At 38.5% G+C, this 18,270-nt stretch overlaps 1 protein-coding gene and 1 pseudogene across 2 annotated transcripts in view, besides 2 other annotated features; both read right to left on the bottom strand.

Moving 5' to 3' along the window:
- The window catches only part of DIAPH2 (diaphanous related formin 2), a 920,156-nt gene that overhangs the window by 398,199 nt on the left and 503,687 nt on the right, over positions 1–18,270 (bottom strand). The window lies entirely within an intron of this gene.
- Positions 5,553–6,257: an enhancer, noted in NCBI's record as "H3K27ac-H3K4me1 hESC enhancer chrX:96455541-96456245 (GRCh37/hg19 assembly coordinates)". NCBI's record gives its function as "activates a minimal SCP1, AML or CMV promoter by ChIP-STARR-seq in naive H9 embryonic stem cells {active_cell/tissue: H9 hESC(naive)}" and the evidence as "EXISTENCE:reporter gene assay evidence [ECO:0000049][PMID:30033119]".
- Positions 6,258–6,962: an enhancer, noted in NCBI's record as "H3K27ac-H3K4me1 hESC enhancer chrX:96454836-96455540 (GRCh37/hg19 assembly coordinates)". NCBI's record gives its function as "activates a minimal SCP1, AML or CMV promoter by ChIP-STARR-seq in naive H9 embryonic stem cells {active_cell/tissue: H9 hESC(naive)}" and the evidence as "EXISTENCE:reporter gene assay evidence [ECO:0000049][PMID:30033119]".
- Positions 15,304–15,441, bottom strand: LOC124905287 (uncharacterized; annotated as a pseudogene).

Raw genomic sequence — 18,270 nt, 5'->3', positions numbered from 1 at the left:
TGCCCCTTGATAGGTACACTCATATTGATTTTTTTCTGTCAAACATACTATCTTCATCAATTTAAAAAAAATTTCTTTTAGCATAACCTCAGCAGAGCGTAAGATGTGTCAAATGCTAAATGAATGTTTAATTATCATTCAGCATTACAATAGATATGGCTAAGATATAAGGATATTATAAATTGATCATCTGATTATATGCATTATGTATGCCTCTATATATGTTTTCATGTATGATCCAAGTCTTTCAACGTAAAAGATCCTATGACATAAGTATCCATTTTCCCTACTAACCTCCACAATCAAAATGAAACAGCATTTTAGGACCTCATGATAACTATATTCACAATCATTCCAATATTTAAATAAATTGGTCTTTTTACAACATGTCATTTTTAGAAGTAGCTTGGAAGAGACAGAGTTAAAGAATGCTGATAAAAAGGTGTATACTTTCATTTTTAATTTTTTTTATTTTTGTTTTTACTTTAAGTTCCAGGATACATGTGCAGAATGTGCAGGTTTGTCACATAGGTATACATGTGCCATGGTGGTTTGCTGCACTCATCAACCCATCATCTAGGTTTTATGCCCTGCATGCATTAGGTATTTGTCCTAATGCTCTCCCTCCCCTTGACTCCGACCCCATGACAGGTCCTAGTGTGTGTTGGTCCCCTCCCTGTATCCATGTGTTCTCATTGTTCAACTCTCACTTATGAGTGAGAACATGTGGTGTTTGGTTTTCTGTTCCTGTGTTAGTTTGCTGAGAATGATGGCTTACAGCTTCATTCATGTCCCTGCAAAGGACATGATCTCATTCTTTTTTATGGCTGTATAGTATTCTGTGGTGGAAATGTGTCACATTTTCTTTATCCATTCTATCATTGATGGGCATTTGGGTTGGTTCCAGGTCTTTGCTATTGTAAATAGTGCTGCAATAAACATACCTGTGCATGTGTCTTTATAATAGAATGATTTATAATCCTTTGGGTGTATACCCAGTAATGAGATTGCTGGGTCAAATGGTATTTCTGGTTCTGGATCCTTGAGGAATCGCCACACTGTCTTCCACAATGGTTGAACTAATTTACACTCCCACCAATAGTGTAAAATAATTCCTATTTCTCCACAGCCTCACCAGCATCTATTGTTTGCTGACTTTTAAATAATCATCATTCTGACTGGCATGAGATGGTATCTCATTGTGGTTTTGCATTTCTCTAATGACCAGTTATGATGAGCTTTATTTCATGTATCTGTTGGCCACATTTCTTTTGAGAAAGGTCTGTTCATATCCTTTGCCTACTTTTTGATTTTTTTTTTCTTGTAAATATGCTTAAGTTCCTTGTAGATTCTGGATATTAGACCTTTGTCAGATGGGTAGAATGCAAAAATATTCTTCCATTCTGTAGGTTGCCTATTCACTCTGATGCTAGTTTCTTTTGCTGTGCAGAAGCTCTTTGTTTAATTAGATCCCATTTGTCAATTTTGGCTTTTGTTGCCATCGCTTTTGGCAGTTTAGTCAGGAAGTCTTTGCCCATGCCTATGTCCTGAATGGTATTGCTTAGGTTTTCTTCTACAGTTTTTATGGTTTTGGGATTTACATTTAAGTCTTTAATACATCTTGAGTTAATTTTTGTATAAGGTGTAAGGAAGGGGTCCAGTTTCTGTTTTCTGCATATGGCTAGCCAGTTTTCCAAGCATCATTTATTAAATAGGGAATCATTTCCCCATTGCTTTTTTTTTGTCAGTTTTGTTGAAGATCAGATGGTTTTAGATGTGTGGGGTTACACTGTGAGGTCTCTGTTCTGCTCCATTGGTCTATATGTCTGTTTTGGTACAAGTACCATGCTGTTTTGGTTACTACAGCCTTGTAGTATAGTTTAAAGTCAGGTAGTGTGATGCCTCCAGCTTTGTTCTTTTTGCTCAGGATTGTCTTGGCTATACAGGATCTTTTTTGGTTCCATATGAAATTTAAAGTAGTTTTTTTCCAACTCTGTGAAGAAAGTCAATGGTAGCTTGATGGGAATAGCACTGAATCCATACATTACTTTGGGCAGTATGGCCATTTTGACAATATTGATTCTTCCTATCCATGAGCATGGGCTGTTTTCCCATTTGTTTGTGTCTTCTCTCATTTCCTTGAGCAGTGGTTTGTAGTTCTCCTTGAAGACGTCTTTCACATTCCTTGTAAGTTGTATTCCTGGGTATTTTATTATCTTTGTAGCAATTGTGAATATGAGTTCATTCATGATTTGGCTCTCTGTGTGTCTATTATTGCTGTATAGAAATGCTTGTGATTTTTGCACATTGATTTTGTATCCTGAGACTTTGCTGAAGTTGTTTATCAGCTTAAGGAGTTTTGGGGCTGAGACGATGGGGTTTTCTAAATAGAATCATGTCATCTGCAAACAAAGACAATTTGACTTCCTCTCTTCCTATGTGAATACCCTTTATTTCTTTCTCCTGCCTGATTGCCCTGGCCAGAACTTCCAATACTATGTCGAATAGGAGTGGTGAGAGAGGCCATCCTTGTCTTGTGCAGGTTTTCAAAAAGAATGCTTCCAGCTATTGCCCATTCAGTATGATATTGGCTATGGGTTTGTCATAATTAGCTCTTACTATTTTGTGATATGTTCAATCAATGCCTAGTTTATTGAGAGTTTTTAACATGAAATGACGTTGAATTTTATTGAAGGCCTTTTCTGCATCTATTGAGATGATCATGTGGCTTTTGTCATTGGTTCTATTTTTGTGATGGATTATGTTTATTGATTTGCATATATTGAACCAGCCTTGCATCCCAGGGATGAAGCCAACTTGATCGTGGTAGATAAGCTTTTTCATGTGCTGCTGGATTCAGTTTACCAATATGTTATTGAGGATTTCTGCATTGATGTTCATTAGGGATATTGGCCTGAAGTTTCCTTTTTTTTGTTGTGTCTCTGCCACATTTTGGTATCAGGATCGTGCTGGCCTCATAATATGAGTTAGGGAGGAGTCCCTCTTTTTCAGTTGTCTGGAATAGTTTCAGAAGGAATGGTACCGGCTCCTCTTTGTACCTCTGGTAGAATTCAGCTGTGAATCCATCTGGTTTGGGGCTTTTTTGGTTGGTATGCTATTAATTACTGCCTCAATTTCAGAACTTGGTATTGGTCTATTCAGGGATTCGACTTCTTCCTGGTTTAGTCTTGGGAGGGTGTATGTGTCCAGGAACTTATCTATTTCTTCTAGATTTTCTAGTTTATTTGTGTAGAGGTGTTTACAGTATTCTCTGATGGTAGTTTGTATTTCTGTGGGACCAGTGGTGATATCGCCTTTATCTTTTTTTATTGTGTCTATTTGATTCTTCTCTCTTTTCTTCTTTATTAGTCTGGCTAGCAGTCCATCTATTTTGTTAATCTTTTCAAAAAATCAGCTCCTGGATTCATTGATTTTTTTGAAGGGTTTTTCGTGTCTCTATCTCCTTCATTTCTGCTCTCATCTTAGTTATTTCTTGTCTTCTGCTAGCTTTTCAATTTGTTTGCTCTTGCTTCTCTAGTTCTTTTAATTGTGATGTTAGGGTTTTGATTTGGGATCTTCCCATCTTTCTGATGTGGGCACTTAGTGCTATAAAGTTCCCTATTAACACTGCTTTAGCTGTGTCCCAGAGATTCTGGTACACTGTCTCCTTGTTCTCATTGGTTTCAAAGAACTTCTTGATTTCTGCCTTCATTTTGTTATATACCCAGGGGTCATTCAGGAGGAGGTTGTACGATTTCCACGTAGTCGTGTGACTTTGAGTGAGTTTCTTAATCCTGAGTTCTAATTTGATTGCACTGTGGTCTGAGAGACTTGTTATGATTTCCATTGTTTTGCATTTGCTGAGGAGTGTTTTACTTCCAATTATGTGGTCCATTTTAGAATAAGTGCTGAGAAGAATGTATATTCTGTTGATTTGGTGTCAAGAGTTCTGTAGATGTCTATTAGGTCCACTTGATCCAGAGCTGAGTTTGAGTCCTGAATATCCTTGTTAATTTTCTGTCTTGTTAATCTGTCAAACATTGACAGTGGGGTGTTAAAGTCTCCCACTATCATTGTGTGTGAGTCTAAGTTTCTTTATAGGTCTCTGAGAACTTGTTTGATGAGTCCGGTTGCTCCTGTATTGAGTGCATATGTATTTAGGACAGTTAGCTCTTCTTGTTGCATTGATCTCTATACCATTAGGTAGTACCCTCCTTTACCTTTTTTAACCTTTGTTGGTTTAAAAGTCTGTTTTATCAGAGACTAGGATTGCAATCCCTGCTATTTATTTTTTATTTTTTATTTTTTTGCTTTCCATTTACTTGGTAAATACTCCTCCATCCCTTTATTTTGAGCCTATGTGTGTCTTTGCATGTGAGATGGGTCTCCTGAATACAGCACACTGATGTGTCTTCACTCTTTATCCAATTTGCCCGTCTGTGTCTTTTAATTGCGGCATTTAGCCCATTTACATTTAAGGTTAATACTGTTTTGTGTGAATTTGATCCTGTCATCATGATGCTAGCTGGTTATTTTGCACATTAGTTGATGCAGTTTCTTCATAGTGTCATTGGTCTTTATATTTTGGTACGTTTTTGTAGTGGCTGGTACCAGTTTTCCCTTTCTATATTTAGTGCTTCCTTCAGGAGCTCTTGAAAAGCAGGCCTGATGGTGACAAAATGCCTCAGCATTTGCTTGTCTGGAAAGGATTTTATTTCCACTTCGCTTATGAAGCTTAGTTTGGCTGGATATGAAATTCTGGGATGAAAATTCTTTAAGAATGTTGAATATTGGCTCCCACTCTTTTCTGGCTTGTAGGGTTCCTGTAGAGAGATCTGCTGTTAGTCTGATGGGCTTCCCTTTGTAGGTGACCTAACCTTTCTCTCTGGCTGCCCTTAACAGTTTTTCTTTCATTTCAACCTTGGAGAATCTGATGATTATTTGTCTTGGGGTTGACCTTCTCATGGAGTATCTTAGTGGTGTTCTCTGTATTTCCTGAATTTGAATGTTGGCCTGTCTTGCTAGGTTGGGGACGTTCTCCTGGATAATATCCTGAAGTGTGTTTTCCAACTTGGTTCCATTCTCCCCATCACTTTCAGGTATACCAAACAATCATAGTTGGTCTTTTCACATAATGCCACATTTCTTGGAGGGTTTGTTCATTCCTTTTCATTCTATGTTCTCCAATCTTGTCTGCACACCTAATTTCAGCAAGGTGGTCTTCAATCTCTGATATCCTTTCTTCTGCTTGATCGATTCAGCTATTGATCCTTGTGTATGCTTCATAAAGATTTTGTGCTGTGTTTTTCAGCTCCATCAGGTCATTTATGTCCATCTCTAAACTGGTTATTCTAGTTAGCAGTTCCTCTAACCTTTTATCAAGGTTCTTAGCTTCCTTGCATTGGGTTAGAACATGATCCTTTAGCTCAGAGAAGTTTGTTATTGCCCACCTTCTGCAGTCTACTTCTGTCAATTCGTCAGTCTCATCCTCCGTCCAGTTTTGTGCCCTGGCTGGAGAGGTGTTGCGTTCATTTGGAGGAGAAGAGGCATTCTGGTGTTTGGAATTTTCAGAGTTTTTGCGCTGGTTTTTCCTCATCTTCATGGATTTATCTACCTTTGATCTTTGAGGCTGATGACCTTTGGATGGGGTTTTTTTTGGGGGGGGGGTCTTTCTTGTTGATGCTGTTGTTGCTTTCTGTTAGTTTTTCTTCTAACAGGCCTCTCTTCTGCAGTTCTGCTGGAGTTTGCTGGAGATCCACTCCAGACCCTGTTCACCTGGGTATCACCAGTGGAGGCTGCAGAACAGCAAAGACTGTTATCTGCTCCTTCCTCTGGAATTTTCATCCCAGAGGGGCACCGGCCTGATGCCAGCTGGAGCTCTCCTGTATGAGATATTTGTCAAGCCCTGTTGGGAGGTCTCTCCCAGTCAGGAGGCATGGGGGTCATGGACCCACCTGAGGAGGCAGACTGAGCCTTACCAGAGCTGGTGCGCTGTGCTGGAAGAATCCCCCTTATCAGGATCAGCTGCTGCCTTCGAAGCCGGCAGGCAGGAAAGATTAAGTCCACTGAAGCTGCGCCTGCAGCTGCCCCTCCCCACAGGTGCTCTGTCCCAGGAAGATGAGAGTTTTATCTGTAAGCCCCTGACTGGGGCTGTGGCATTTCCTTCAGAGAGGCCCCGCCCCTGAGTAGGAATCTAGAGAAGCATTCTGGCCACAGCCGCTTTGCCACGCTGTGATGAATTCCGCCCAGTCCAAACCTGTCAGTCTCAGCACTGTCAGGGGAAAACCACCTACTAAAACCTCAGTAATGGCGGATGACCCTCCCTATCACCAAGCTTGATCATCCCAGCTCGACTCCAGATGGTTCTTAGCTTGCTGAGCTCCGTGGGAATGGGACCTGCTGAGCGAGACCACTTGGCTCCCTGGCTTCAGCCACATTTCCAGGGGAGTAGATGGTTCTCCTGTTTCGCTGGTGTTCCAGGCACCGCCGGGGTACAAAAACAACTCCCGCAGCTAGCTGGGTGCCTGCCCAAACAGCTGCCCAGTTTTGTGCTTGAGACCCAGGGCCCTGGTAGTGCAGGCATACGAGGGAATCTCCTGATCTGCAGATTGCAAAAATTCGTGGGAAAAGCGTAGTATCTGGGGCGGGTAGCACAGCCCCTCACTGCTTCCCTTGGCTGGGGGAGGGAGGTCCCTGGCTCCTTGGCCTTCCTGGGAGAAGCGACGCCCCATCCTGCTTGTGCTCACTCTCTTTGGGTTGCACCCACTGTCTAATCAGTCCCAATGAGATCAACTAGGTACCTCCCTTCTGCATTTGTCTCGTTGGGAGCTGCAGACTGGAGCTGTTTCTATTTGGCCATCTTGGCTCCTCCATCCCCAAAATGAAAAGGTGTATACTTTTACTATACTTGGTCTAGCTCTTTTAAAAGTAGGTAACCTTTAAAAAGTACTTAGAAAGGAAATACAACAGACCAAATATTCTGATTTCTTCATGGCTGAAAAAGTGTCAGATGATTCAAAGATAAGAGCATGAATGTACAGTCCATCGAAATCTGAGTAGAAGCCAAAGGATTAAGTTGCTATTAATATCAACAAGGTTTCAGGAAGTTTCCCTACCCTACTCCTCCACCAAGCCCTGGTTGAAATCAGAACTGAAAACAGCAGTTGGTATATGGAAAGTTTTCAACTTCAGTGCTGAGAAAACTAATATTTCACAAGAACTAGAACATTGCGGGAGATCAGAAAAGAAGGAAAAATAGAAATTGCTTCAACAAAGAAGCAAGGAACATGATGTAAAGAAAGAAATATCCCTGGATCAAGCTTTACATAAATGCTTGCTTGAGAGACTGGAGTGTAGAATTATGCCATTGGCAAATATTAATAAAAAGATACAGATACACACATATACATATACATGTGTACATGTACATATGCATGTATACACATATTCCATACACATATATGGAATAAAAGCAATTTAAGCTATACAACATGATAAAGCAAGTTATTTTATAAGAAATGTATTATCAGTTTTTATGTTCAGATACACACACGTACACACACACACACACATATACATATGTTAATATAATCCTCAAAAAAACCACCTTATGGGAAGATTACTTAGATTGAGGGTGGCTAACTATTATAAGGGGAGATTATAAAAAATAGGGTAAGAGAAAAACTCAGCACTGCCTTCCTCTGAAACATGCCTTAGCTTATGGCTAGGTGCTTTTCCTCCCATCCACTGCCTGCCCTGACCCCACCCTCCCAAAGCACTTACTTCTCTGCTTGTGAATTCTTCTTTCTACATTCACTTCCCCTCACCTTTAATCAAGTTTGGCCATGGCTCACATGTCAACCTAATATATTTGAAATATAAAGGATATCTCCTGCTTTCCTTTCTTAACAAAGTATAATGCTGTCAAAGTATGAGGGGATTTGTGAGCTGACAGGGATGAAAATATCAAATGAATGTGCTGGAAAATCACTGTGACTTTACGATAACAGAAGACCACACTACTTAAACTATGTAGTTGAAGTTCAATATATGTGATTAAACCCATCAGGTACTTACTTGTCTATAGTCAGCACTGTGCTAACTGATAAAAAATGCAGTAGCTGGCATGGATCATTAGCTTAAAGATGTTATAATTTTAATGGAATAAAAGATCAGAAGAAATAATATACTTAAGGCATTGTTGGTAATTCTGTAAATTCATAATATTTTACATAGGAATGAACTTTTATTTATTATAATTGCAAATACATTAAGTACAAATTAAAATACATTTGTGCCTATATATGTATAATATGCATATTCAAATTAAATAAGTCCTAGTTTCATCCACTTCGTAAGTTTTCATAGAAAAACTTCTGTGACCACGTGTAACAATGGACAAGTTTAGCTTAAAGGGTATATTAAAATCTGATGGTCCTTATATTAATATATATATACACACATATGCGTGTATATATATATGTATATACACATATGTGTGTGTGTGTGTGTGTGTGTGTGTGTGTGTGTGTGTATTTTGTTGTTGTTGTTAGTATACCTCACTGATTTGACCAGGAACGTTTTAGGTAAATAAAACAGAATCCTTAGGTTTCTTATATATCTCTCTAGAGTCGTCTAATGAGTTTTTCTTTTTAACCATAAGATGAGCTTCTCAACATTCATGAGACATGCACCAGAATCATTCATTCCCCTTGTCTTTTGAAAGAAACAAATAGTTTTCAGCTGACTCTCATGAATCTGACAGTCTCTCTTTCTGAGTCCTATAAAGCTGTCTAAGTGATGCAAACATAACTGGCTTGCTTTAGAATACTGAATAGCATTTTCTATTTATTTTTACTCAACTGGAAATACACAAGGCTGGGGAAATAGAGAAAAGAATTAAAATAACTGGTTTTTAAAGAACAACCTGGTCAAATTAGTAAAATCTTAGCCCTTGACAGCCAACGTGGTTGTGGTCAAGGAAAATCATAAAATGACCTGAACACTTCAAACTTAACCTTGGGAAAAGGCTGAAGAGCAGCCATTTGTTAAGCTGAAGCTACTAATTCTGCAAATCAAATATATAAATATCACCCTACCATGCCCCTGGTAAACAAGAGAACTGAAACAAATGTCATCTATAGTAAGCAAGGCACAGTAAATATACTTTAAAATGCAGATATAGCTCAGGAACTACTATAGAATTATCTTCCAGTAAAATAGGCTAACTAAATTTCTTACATATGTGATCGATTGTTAGATGTCTGAAGGAAGTTTATAAGAATAACTTACACTCTACCTTATATGAGATGAAGAATCACACAGTGTTTCTCCTTCTTATGGTCCTAAGATATTCGAATTTGCACTATTCTTAAAATGAGGCATATATAGAAAATGTAAGCACATAATTTCTTTAGTATTAGGAAGTTCTGTTTATGATTTGTGTCTATATGTGTATATACTTATGTACATGAATGTACAGATAACCTTCCATGTGACTCAGAACACATCTCATGGGGAACACAATTAGTCCTCACTATAAATTTATGAATTAAGTTACCATTTTTCTTTTGGCACATGAGAGGGAATAGAGATAGTATATGAGTATAGTGAGTACAGCAGCCAGGCAATGGCAGAACAAGAACTGGCCTTCACTTGTATTTACCTTTCATTTAATTTTCTTTTACCAGTTACACATTATTGTTTTTTATGTATTTCCTCAAAACTTCCTAACACCTGTAATCCCAGCATTTTGGGAGGCTGAGGCGGGTGGATCACTTGAGGTCAGGAATTCAAGACCAGTCTGACCAACATGGTGAAACCCCATTTCCACTAAAAATACAAAATTAGTCAGGCGTGGTGGCACATGTCTGTAATCTCAGCTATTTGGGAGGCTGAGGCAGGAAAATCGCTTGAACCCGGCAGGCGGAGGTTGCAGTGAGCCAAAATCACACCACTGCACTCCAGCCTGGGCAACAAAAGCAAAACTCCATCTCAAAAAAAAAAAAAACCGAAAAAAAAGAAATAAAAACCCTTTTTCATTTACATTTTCCAAACGAAAATCAGATATGTACCAGCTGCAAATATACACTCTCAATATAGAAATTGCGTTTAAAATAACTATACAGTGATACCTGGCTCATTTCCTATATTTCAATCTAGAAAGAAATTGTTGGTAAAGGTCAGAGTGAACATTTTCCCTTTTTTTCTTTAACAAACTTCCAGTACTAGCTCATAATTGAAGCATTTCATGTTATTTCTTTCCTGGTATCTCTACCATTTCTGTGTTTACTAACATTTGATGACAAATCCCGTTATTAGTTTTGTGGATTTTATACCACTAGAACCATATTTTCTATCAACAAATTTCTGTTAGCATCTGATGATGTCCTAATGCCTACAATCTTCTGTTATATCCTGCTTGGCTTCAGAGCAGATAAGAAGGCAGTAACATGGAACTGAATGAGCAAAGGTAAGATATAATACCAAAAATCCCTTTTTATTGTTCTTTCTCTATATACTGCAATACAACAAAACTATACACACGTATGTGCATGTGTGTGTGTGTGTGTGTGTGTGTATGTATGTGTGTGTGTATGTGTATCACTACAACTCTGATTCTGAGTTCTGGATCCAGTGATAAGCTACCGAGCTTTGCTAGCCTGTGTAATTGTCCCCATGTGTTTCCAATAATTAGTAGCTTCTGAAGATATCATTGTCATATTCTTTCATATTTTTCTCATATTTGAAAATACAGTTATGATTTTAGTCATTTATTGCAATTAAATCTTGCAAAGAATGCTTTTATTTTGAAAAACAATGGCATCATGTCAAATAATTAACTTGTGTTCTCTTTACACACACATTTTTATTTATTTGCTTCTAAGTTAACTACCCAGCTACTGATAAGCTTTTCTGCTCTATGAACAATCACGTTTACTACTGCCCCATGGATGCTTACTCTTCTTTTTTTTTTTTTAACAACATAATGTTATTTGCTTCCCTTTTATTTTTTTAATATGTCGAACAGAATATTTCAACATTAAAAATTTGTAACATGGTAGGCCAGTGCGGGCTTAGACTTTTTGTATTACTTTCCATTTATTAGCAATCTATCCACTTTTTTTTTTTTTTTTTTTGAGACGGAGTCTTGCTCTATCGCCCAGGCTGGAGTGCAGTGGCGAGATCTCAGCTCACTGCAACCTCCACCCCCCAGGTTCAAGCGATTCTCCTGTCTCAGCCTCCTGAGTAGCTGAGATTACAGGTGTGCACTACCATGCCCAGCTAATTTTTGTATTTTTAGTAGAGACGGGGTTTCACCATGTTGGCCAGGCTGGTCTTGAACTCCTGACCTCAAGTGATCTACCCGCTTCAGCCTCCCAAAGTGCTGGGATTACAGGCATGAGCCACTGCGCCTGGCCTAATCTATCCACTTTTAATCATTTCTCATTTTACCAGTGAGACTAGTCAATGGCAATTTCCAATTATACTTCAAGGGACAATGCTGAAGTTACACTTTAATATTTAATTAAAAATTCATTATGATGCCCCAAATGTATGATTATACAATATATTTTGATGTTATATATATTTCAGCTATCTCCTAGAAGATATCATTTACTTTTTAATTTTGTTTATAACTTTTTTTAAATTACGGAATTGATCAAGTGACACATATCTATCAAAATTTACATGAGGTTTTCTCCTAAACTTTCATGCTCAGTAAGCCCAGCCCTATCCTAAGACTAAACAATAGCCACCTAGGTTTTGTTGTCCTTTATTGATTCATTTTATTAGCTTTTGCTTTTTTAATCATTACAAAATTTATTTTAGAATATGGTAAGGTTGGGACCATACTCCCCAACCAAATGGTTTAACCAATTATTACAGAACTGTTGATTAAGTAAATCCATCCTTGAGGAAGGTAGTTATACAGTTTAGGAAACAATTTTGAATGATCTAAAAAATAGGCTTTCCTAATAATGTGGGCTCTTTCTCTTGCTGACATAAATAATATGTGCCTGTATACTGTTAAGCTATAAAATGGTTCATTTAATCACATTTAATTGTTTATGATTTTATACTTAATTCTAGCTTAAACTCTATAACAATACTATTTATTTTCTCCCCTCCCCTCTCATCATGATGTTTAAGGTAGGTTATCTGGACAGGTGAAATCACTAAAACAAATTCAACAATTTGAAAATATTTCTAGGGGCCGGGTGCAGTGGTTCACGCCTGTAATCCCAGCACTTTGGGAGGCCAAGGTGGGCGGATCACGAGGTCGGGAGATCGAGACCATCCTGGCTAACACAGTGAAACCCCGTCTCTACTAAAAATACAAAAAGAAATTAGCCGGGCTTGGTGGCGGGTGCCTGTAGTCCCAGCTACTCGGGAGGCTGAGGCAGGAGAATGGCTTGAACCCGGGAGGCGGAGCGTGCAGTGAGCCAAGATCACGCCACTGCACTCCAGCCTGGGCAACAGAGCAAGACTCCGTCAAAAAAAAAAAAAAAAATTTCTAGGATATTAAAATGGAAATGGGATGTTTTACTAAGAATCATACCATTATCTGGTAGGGAAGGGAGAAGCCATTTTTAATACTAATATGCAAAGAGAAACATTACCGTAGAGCAGAGATATGGAGCAAATGCAAGACTTGTAGTCATATGACCTGAGGTTCTAAATCTGACTCTGCGACTTATTAGCTAGTTCTGCTGTTTTGGGCACATTACTTAAGGCATCTGAGCTTCAGTCTGTCATCCACAAAATGAGAGTGAGCAAATATGTCCTCACAGTGTTTTCAGAAAAAACAAAGCCTGACAATGTATGTAAAAGATACACTGAATACCAAAAAGAAATAAAGAAGTGTTTATTATATAAAGTATTATACAAATATATAATATTATGACAAAACTAACTTATTTATAGGCCAGAAATTAGAACCCATAATCCACGGATTTAAATTTTCCAATTGGCTTGATTGCCTACTTCCAGCAGAGAAAGCAAAGTGAGTAGGTAGTTCCTTGAGTCATATAATATTTTGTGAGGATGCTAAAATCCTGCTAAAGAGCAAAATAAATAAATGCATATAACATGTAATTAAAAGTATTATACAAGTATATTTTCCATTCAACTTGTCAGCATAAACTTCACCAGAAAATGAAATCGCTTTTCCAGCACCAGTAGAATGCAACCAAGTAGAATGCAATCAATGTCTTTATTAAATGATACCAACTGGGAGATAACTTAGTCTTAGTACAAGGACAATAAAAGGCCTTAAATTTTTGGCAAGACAAATGTACCTTTAATTCACTTTAATAAAATAAGAGAAATCAATAATTAAAATGTGCTTGAGAAACTAAATTAACTGCATAATGAAGGTAACCCAATGAAGTACTGGCACATCAAAATATAGGAAGTATAAATCTGGTAAAAGAAGAAAAATAAAATTGACAAAGTTCAAGTTAATTTAAGAATAGAAATGTGGGCTGGGCACGGTGGCTTATGCCTGTAATCCCAATATACTGGGAGACTGAGGCGGGAGGATTGCTTGAGCTCAGGAGTTTGAGGCCAGCCTGGCCAACATGGTGAAACCCAATCTCTACAAAAAATGCAAAAAATTAGCCAGGCATGGTGGCGAGCACCTGTGGTCCCAGCTACTAAGGAGGCTGAGGTGGGAGAATCGCTTGAGCCCAGGAGGTCGAGGCTGCAGTGGGCCAAGATGGCACCACTGCACTCCAGCCTGGGCGACAGAGAGAGACCCTGTCTCAAAAAAAAAAAAAAAAAAGAAAAGAAAAAGAAAAAGAAAGAAATAATGTATTATTTAGGAAAAAGAGAGGGAATTTGTTGCTTTATTCAGAGCTGTGGACTAGGAATATGAATGTGTAGGTTCTAGTTTTAATTCCATGATTTCTTAGTAGTGAGTCTTAAGTAACTCTCTTAACTTCTCCTAGGCCTTACTTTTCTCAAATATGAAATAAGGAGATCAAACTAGACCAGTTGTTCTCAGGTGTTAGGGTTTCAGAAACTGCAAAAAATCGGGAGGCACTTTTTATACTGCCAAATTAGGCTATTATTTTAAGAGGAAAATTCCTACCATCTATCATCACCGTCATCTCATAAAAGTAGGATATTTTATCATGAAAAAATATGTAAAAGAAATAATCTCAGAATAAAGGAGTAGTTCTTTATACTGAATACATTGAGCTTAAATTTCTGTGTGTTTTAAATTATCATTTACAGGCTGATGAAAACTTCACAGGTTAACACTGGTTCACAGAACAGTGTTTTAGCAAATGGAATCTAAGGGCGCATCTAGCTCTTACATTCTATGGCTCAACTCCTATTTAGATACTCTCTTGCTTTACAAAATAGGTATATGCACGGATTTAAAAAGCAGGTATTAGTGTTAAGGGTATTACTGGGCATTAGGGGTAGAGATAAAGAGAACTTCTACTTTTGAAAAAGTACTTTTCTTTTCTTTTCTTTTTTTTTTTTTTTTTTTTTGAGACGGAGTCTCACTCTCTTGCCCAGGCTGGAGTGCAGTGGCACAATCTTGGCTCACCAAAACCTCTGCCTCACGGGTTCAAGTGATTCTCCTGCCTCAGCCTCCCAAGTAGCTGCGAGCACCTACAGGTGCGAGCCACCATGCCCAGGTAATTTTTGTATTTTTAGTAGAGAAGGGGTTTCACTATGTTGGCCAGGCTAGTCTCAAACTCCTGACCTCGTGATCTGCCCACCTTGGCCTCCCAAAGTGCTGGGATTACAGGTGTGAGCCACTGCACTCAGCAAAAGTACTTATTTTTCATTGTGGTAAGGCAAAGAGTCTTGTCTGGGATAAATTCTTGTTTCAGTGTGGCCATTTTACTATTAGGTTCATGAACATGCTAATGTTCAGTTTTTCACTGCTTCCTTTTGAGATGATTAGAGTAGACTCATACTCATCTTTTCAGCACTTATTTGGAGGGCAGCAAAGCTCATGCTGCTATCCAGTCACTTTTCTTTCTTCTACCTTGTCTCCCTAAGATTTAAGTATAAACTGACGATATTATGGAAATCAAAAATTAAGCGAACTAAAGTATAAAAAGTATCTTGTTTGTGTTATACTTTGGATCATATAAACAGAATGCTAATGAATGCATTGTAGGTTTTTAAGGGTTATTTTCCAAACTTAGCAAGGTAATTAACATATCATGCTAATACAAATATTAATAGAAATATAGATATACTTTGAGCAGCCTGCAGCCTACACCTACTTTCCTAGAGCTGAGAGAAGAGTGAGACTACTCTCCTTAAGCCTGCTTCCCAGGGAAGATACAAAATGCTTTCTCAGTATCTATCCCACTAGAGATTTTAAAAGGAAGAACTCTGAAGGAACAAATCCAACAAATGTGTAATTTTTTATTTCTACACTTGATCTTAGCCAAAAGGCCAAGAAGCAATACATTTTTCTTTTTTTTTTCTTTTTTTTTTTGAGAGAGTTTCCCTCTTGTTGCCCAGGCTGGAGTGCAATGGCATGATCTTGGCTCACGGCAACCTCTGCCTCCCAGGTTCAAGCGATTCTCCTGCCTCAGCCTCCCAAGTAGCTGGGATTACAGTCATGAGCCACCAAGCCCAGCTAATTTTGTATTTTTAGTAACGACAGGGTTTCACCAGGTTGGTCAGAATGGTCTTGAACTCCTGACCTCAGGTGATCCGCCTGCCTGGGCCTCTCAAAGTGCTGGGATTACAGGCGTGAACCACTGCGCCCAGCCCGTTTTTATTTCTCTGTATGAGAGTCAGGTCCACTTAGCATTTGAAAGAGGGGGCTACTGCACACAGAATTAGGTGGGGAAAGGACGAGGACTTTATGGGATTAGGAGAAAGAACTTTGCCTTGTGACTTCAGATAATGAACTGGGGGAAGGACTGGCAGTGATTCACCTTCTAGAGTCCAGTACCTATGAATTTTTTTTTTTTTTTTTTTTTGAAATGGAGTCTCACTCTGTCACCCAGGCTAGAGTACAGTGGCATGATCTCAGCTCACTGCAACCTCCGCCTCCCGGGTTCAAGAAATTCTCTGCCTCAGCAGGGATTACAGGCGCCTGACACCATACCTGGCTAATTTTTGTATTTTCAGTAGAGATGGGGTTTCACCATGTTGGCCAGGCTGGTCTTGAACTCCTGAACTCGTGATCCACCCACCTCAGCCTCCCAAAGTGCCGGGATTACAGGCGTGAGCCACCATGCCTGGCCGATTTACAATGTCTTGCTAACTAAGGAGCAACATGGGACAGCATCCCCAGTGAGGCTGACCCTTATGTCATCCTTCTGAAGTTGCTAAGATATGTACTTTGAAAAGTTTCTAAAAGTTACACAATATATAGTTTAAACTCTATTGGTCCTATTAAGGGTACATGTTTTTAAATTCTCTCCACTCTGCTGAAACAAAGGCAGCCCGCAGAAAAACCTTTAAACCTTTGAAAACTTTTCCCAATCTGGACTGGCGTAATATCCTAGAATCACAAATCTGTTCATCTACCCTAGTGATGGCCCATGCCACTATAACTAAAAACCTCTATCATTCAAGGAATGCACACTCTGGAGACTAGTGCATTGTACAAACACAAAGAATGGGGCTACCAATGCCATGAATTCACAAAGAATTTGGTTGAAAAACAGAGCAGATCATCAGTGGTGAAGCAAGTGACGAGAAACCTAGAAACCAAGAGATTAAATTCTAAATCTGTTTCTGCTACTTTTTCATTATTTAAGACTAATAAAGCCGTTTTGATACTGTCTATGTGAAAGAGACATTTTCTAATAGCACTAGAGTTTTTCTCCTGAGCCAAAACACTCATGCACGTAGGATACAACTTAACAAGCCAAGTAAGAGTGCCCAGAGTTTGAGTAGGCAGCCTTTATTGCCTATGTGTTGACAATCTCTGCCTTTGCTCTTGCCCTAAGGGCACTGCAATCATCATACCTGCCTAGTTAAGCATCTCTCTAGGGCCTTGCCCTTCAGAGGCAGGTAACTCAAACAGCATGCCAGCTTTAAAGGTTACATTTTCTCACAATAAATCCTACTCACTTTTTGTTTTCTTTTTCTTTTTGGCTAGGCAAAAAGAGGGATTTTTTAAAAATTGCTTCTTATTTTTTAACCTTTTTCTTCATTTAGTAGAGACATTAATTTTATAATATTGGACATAGGGATTGGCAATTTTTAATAAAGAAAATGGTTTTACATATCAATGGCAATAGATGGGTTAAAATATCATTTGTAATTCACTATCCATATCCTAAGATAAACCCAGGAATATACAGTACTTCTGTAGTGTCCAGCCATTACTTAGCAAGGGAAGAGGGAGGGTGGGAGGGAGGGAGGGGGGGGGACGACTGATTCTGAGAAAAGCTTCATAGACCAATTCTTTTGTGGCTTGTTTCTCAGACTGTTCTCTCTGGTAAATACGACCTTGGGGGCCACATCTTTCTTCTGTTCTTCTATATACCACTGCTACAAGACCTCTAATCAAGCGCAGTTATTGATTACCCTGGGTTCACATAAGGCTTTTTGGTTAGTCAACCTTTCCTTTAACCTCCGCTCTTCAGACATCAGAATAATGTCTTCATTCATCTCTTGAACTTGCTTACATACCTGAATTATTTGCCCAGCTTTTCTCTTTCTATATCTAACTAAATTCCTGTGCACCTCCCATCCTCCTCATTTTCAGCTAAAATAGCTGTCTTGGCACGGTGAAGAAAAAGTAATCTTGCCAACTTCTCTGGCTGTTATTTACCTTTCTCCTTTTCTTAGCTTTCCACTGGCACCCTGTCCTCACATGCTCATATATATCCATAAAATTCACAATTGGATTACTAGAGAATGTAAATGACAGTAGCACTTCTAAAGCAAGAAATGTGAGATGCAAAAGCCACAAACATTTTACACCACTCAACAGAGAGAATATGCTTTCCGTGTTGCATGATGTGGCATAAATGTGCTTCTATTACCATAATAAACCATTTAAAAATTATTTTTTAAAAGTCTGCACATATGAATGTAATTAAAATGCTCTATTGCATTGTAAATCTAAAGTAATTTAGGGAACAACCTTTGTTTCTTTGCTGAAAGACTAACATCTGTCTGTTATTAAAGTTATACAGAGCAAAGAACTCAAATTCATTCCTATGGTGGTTAAACTATGTACTTATTATTAAACAGTCTGAAGTTGAAATCAATTTAAACAATATAACAAACTTCTAGTAATTTTTCAACAAATAAGTTTATCTTGTT

This window comes from Homo sapiens, chromosome X (assembly GCF_000001405.40).
Source record: "Homo sapiens chromosome X, GRCh38.p14 Primary Assembly".
Taxonomy (NCBI): Eukaryota; Metazoa; Chordata; class Mammalia; order Primates; family Hominidae; genus Homo; species Homo sapiens.
This window is presented reverse-complemented; position numbering and strand designations above follow the sequence as displayed.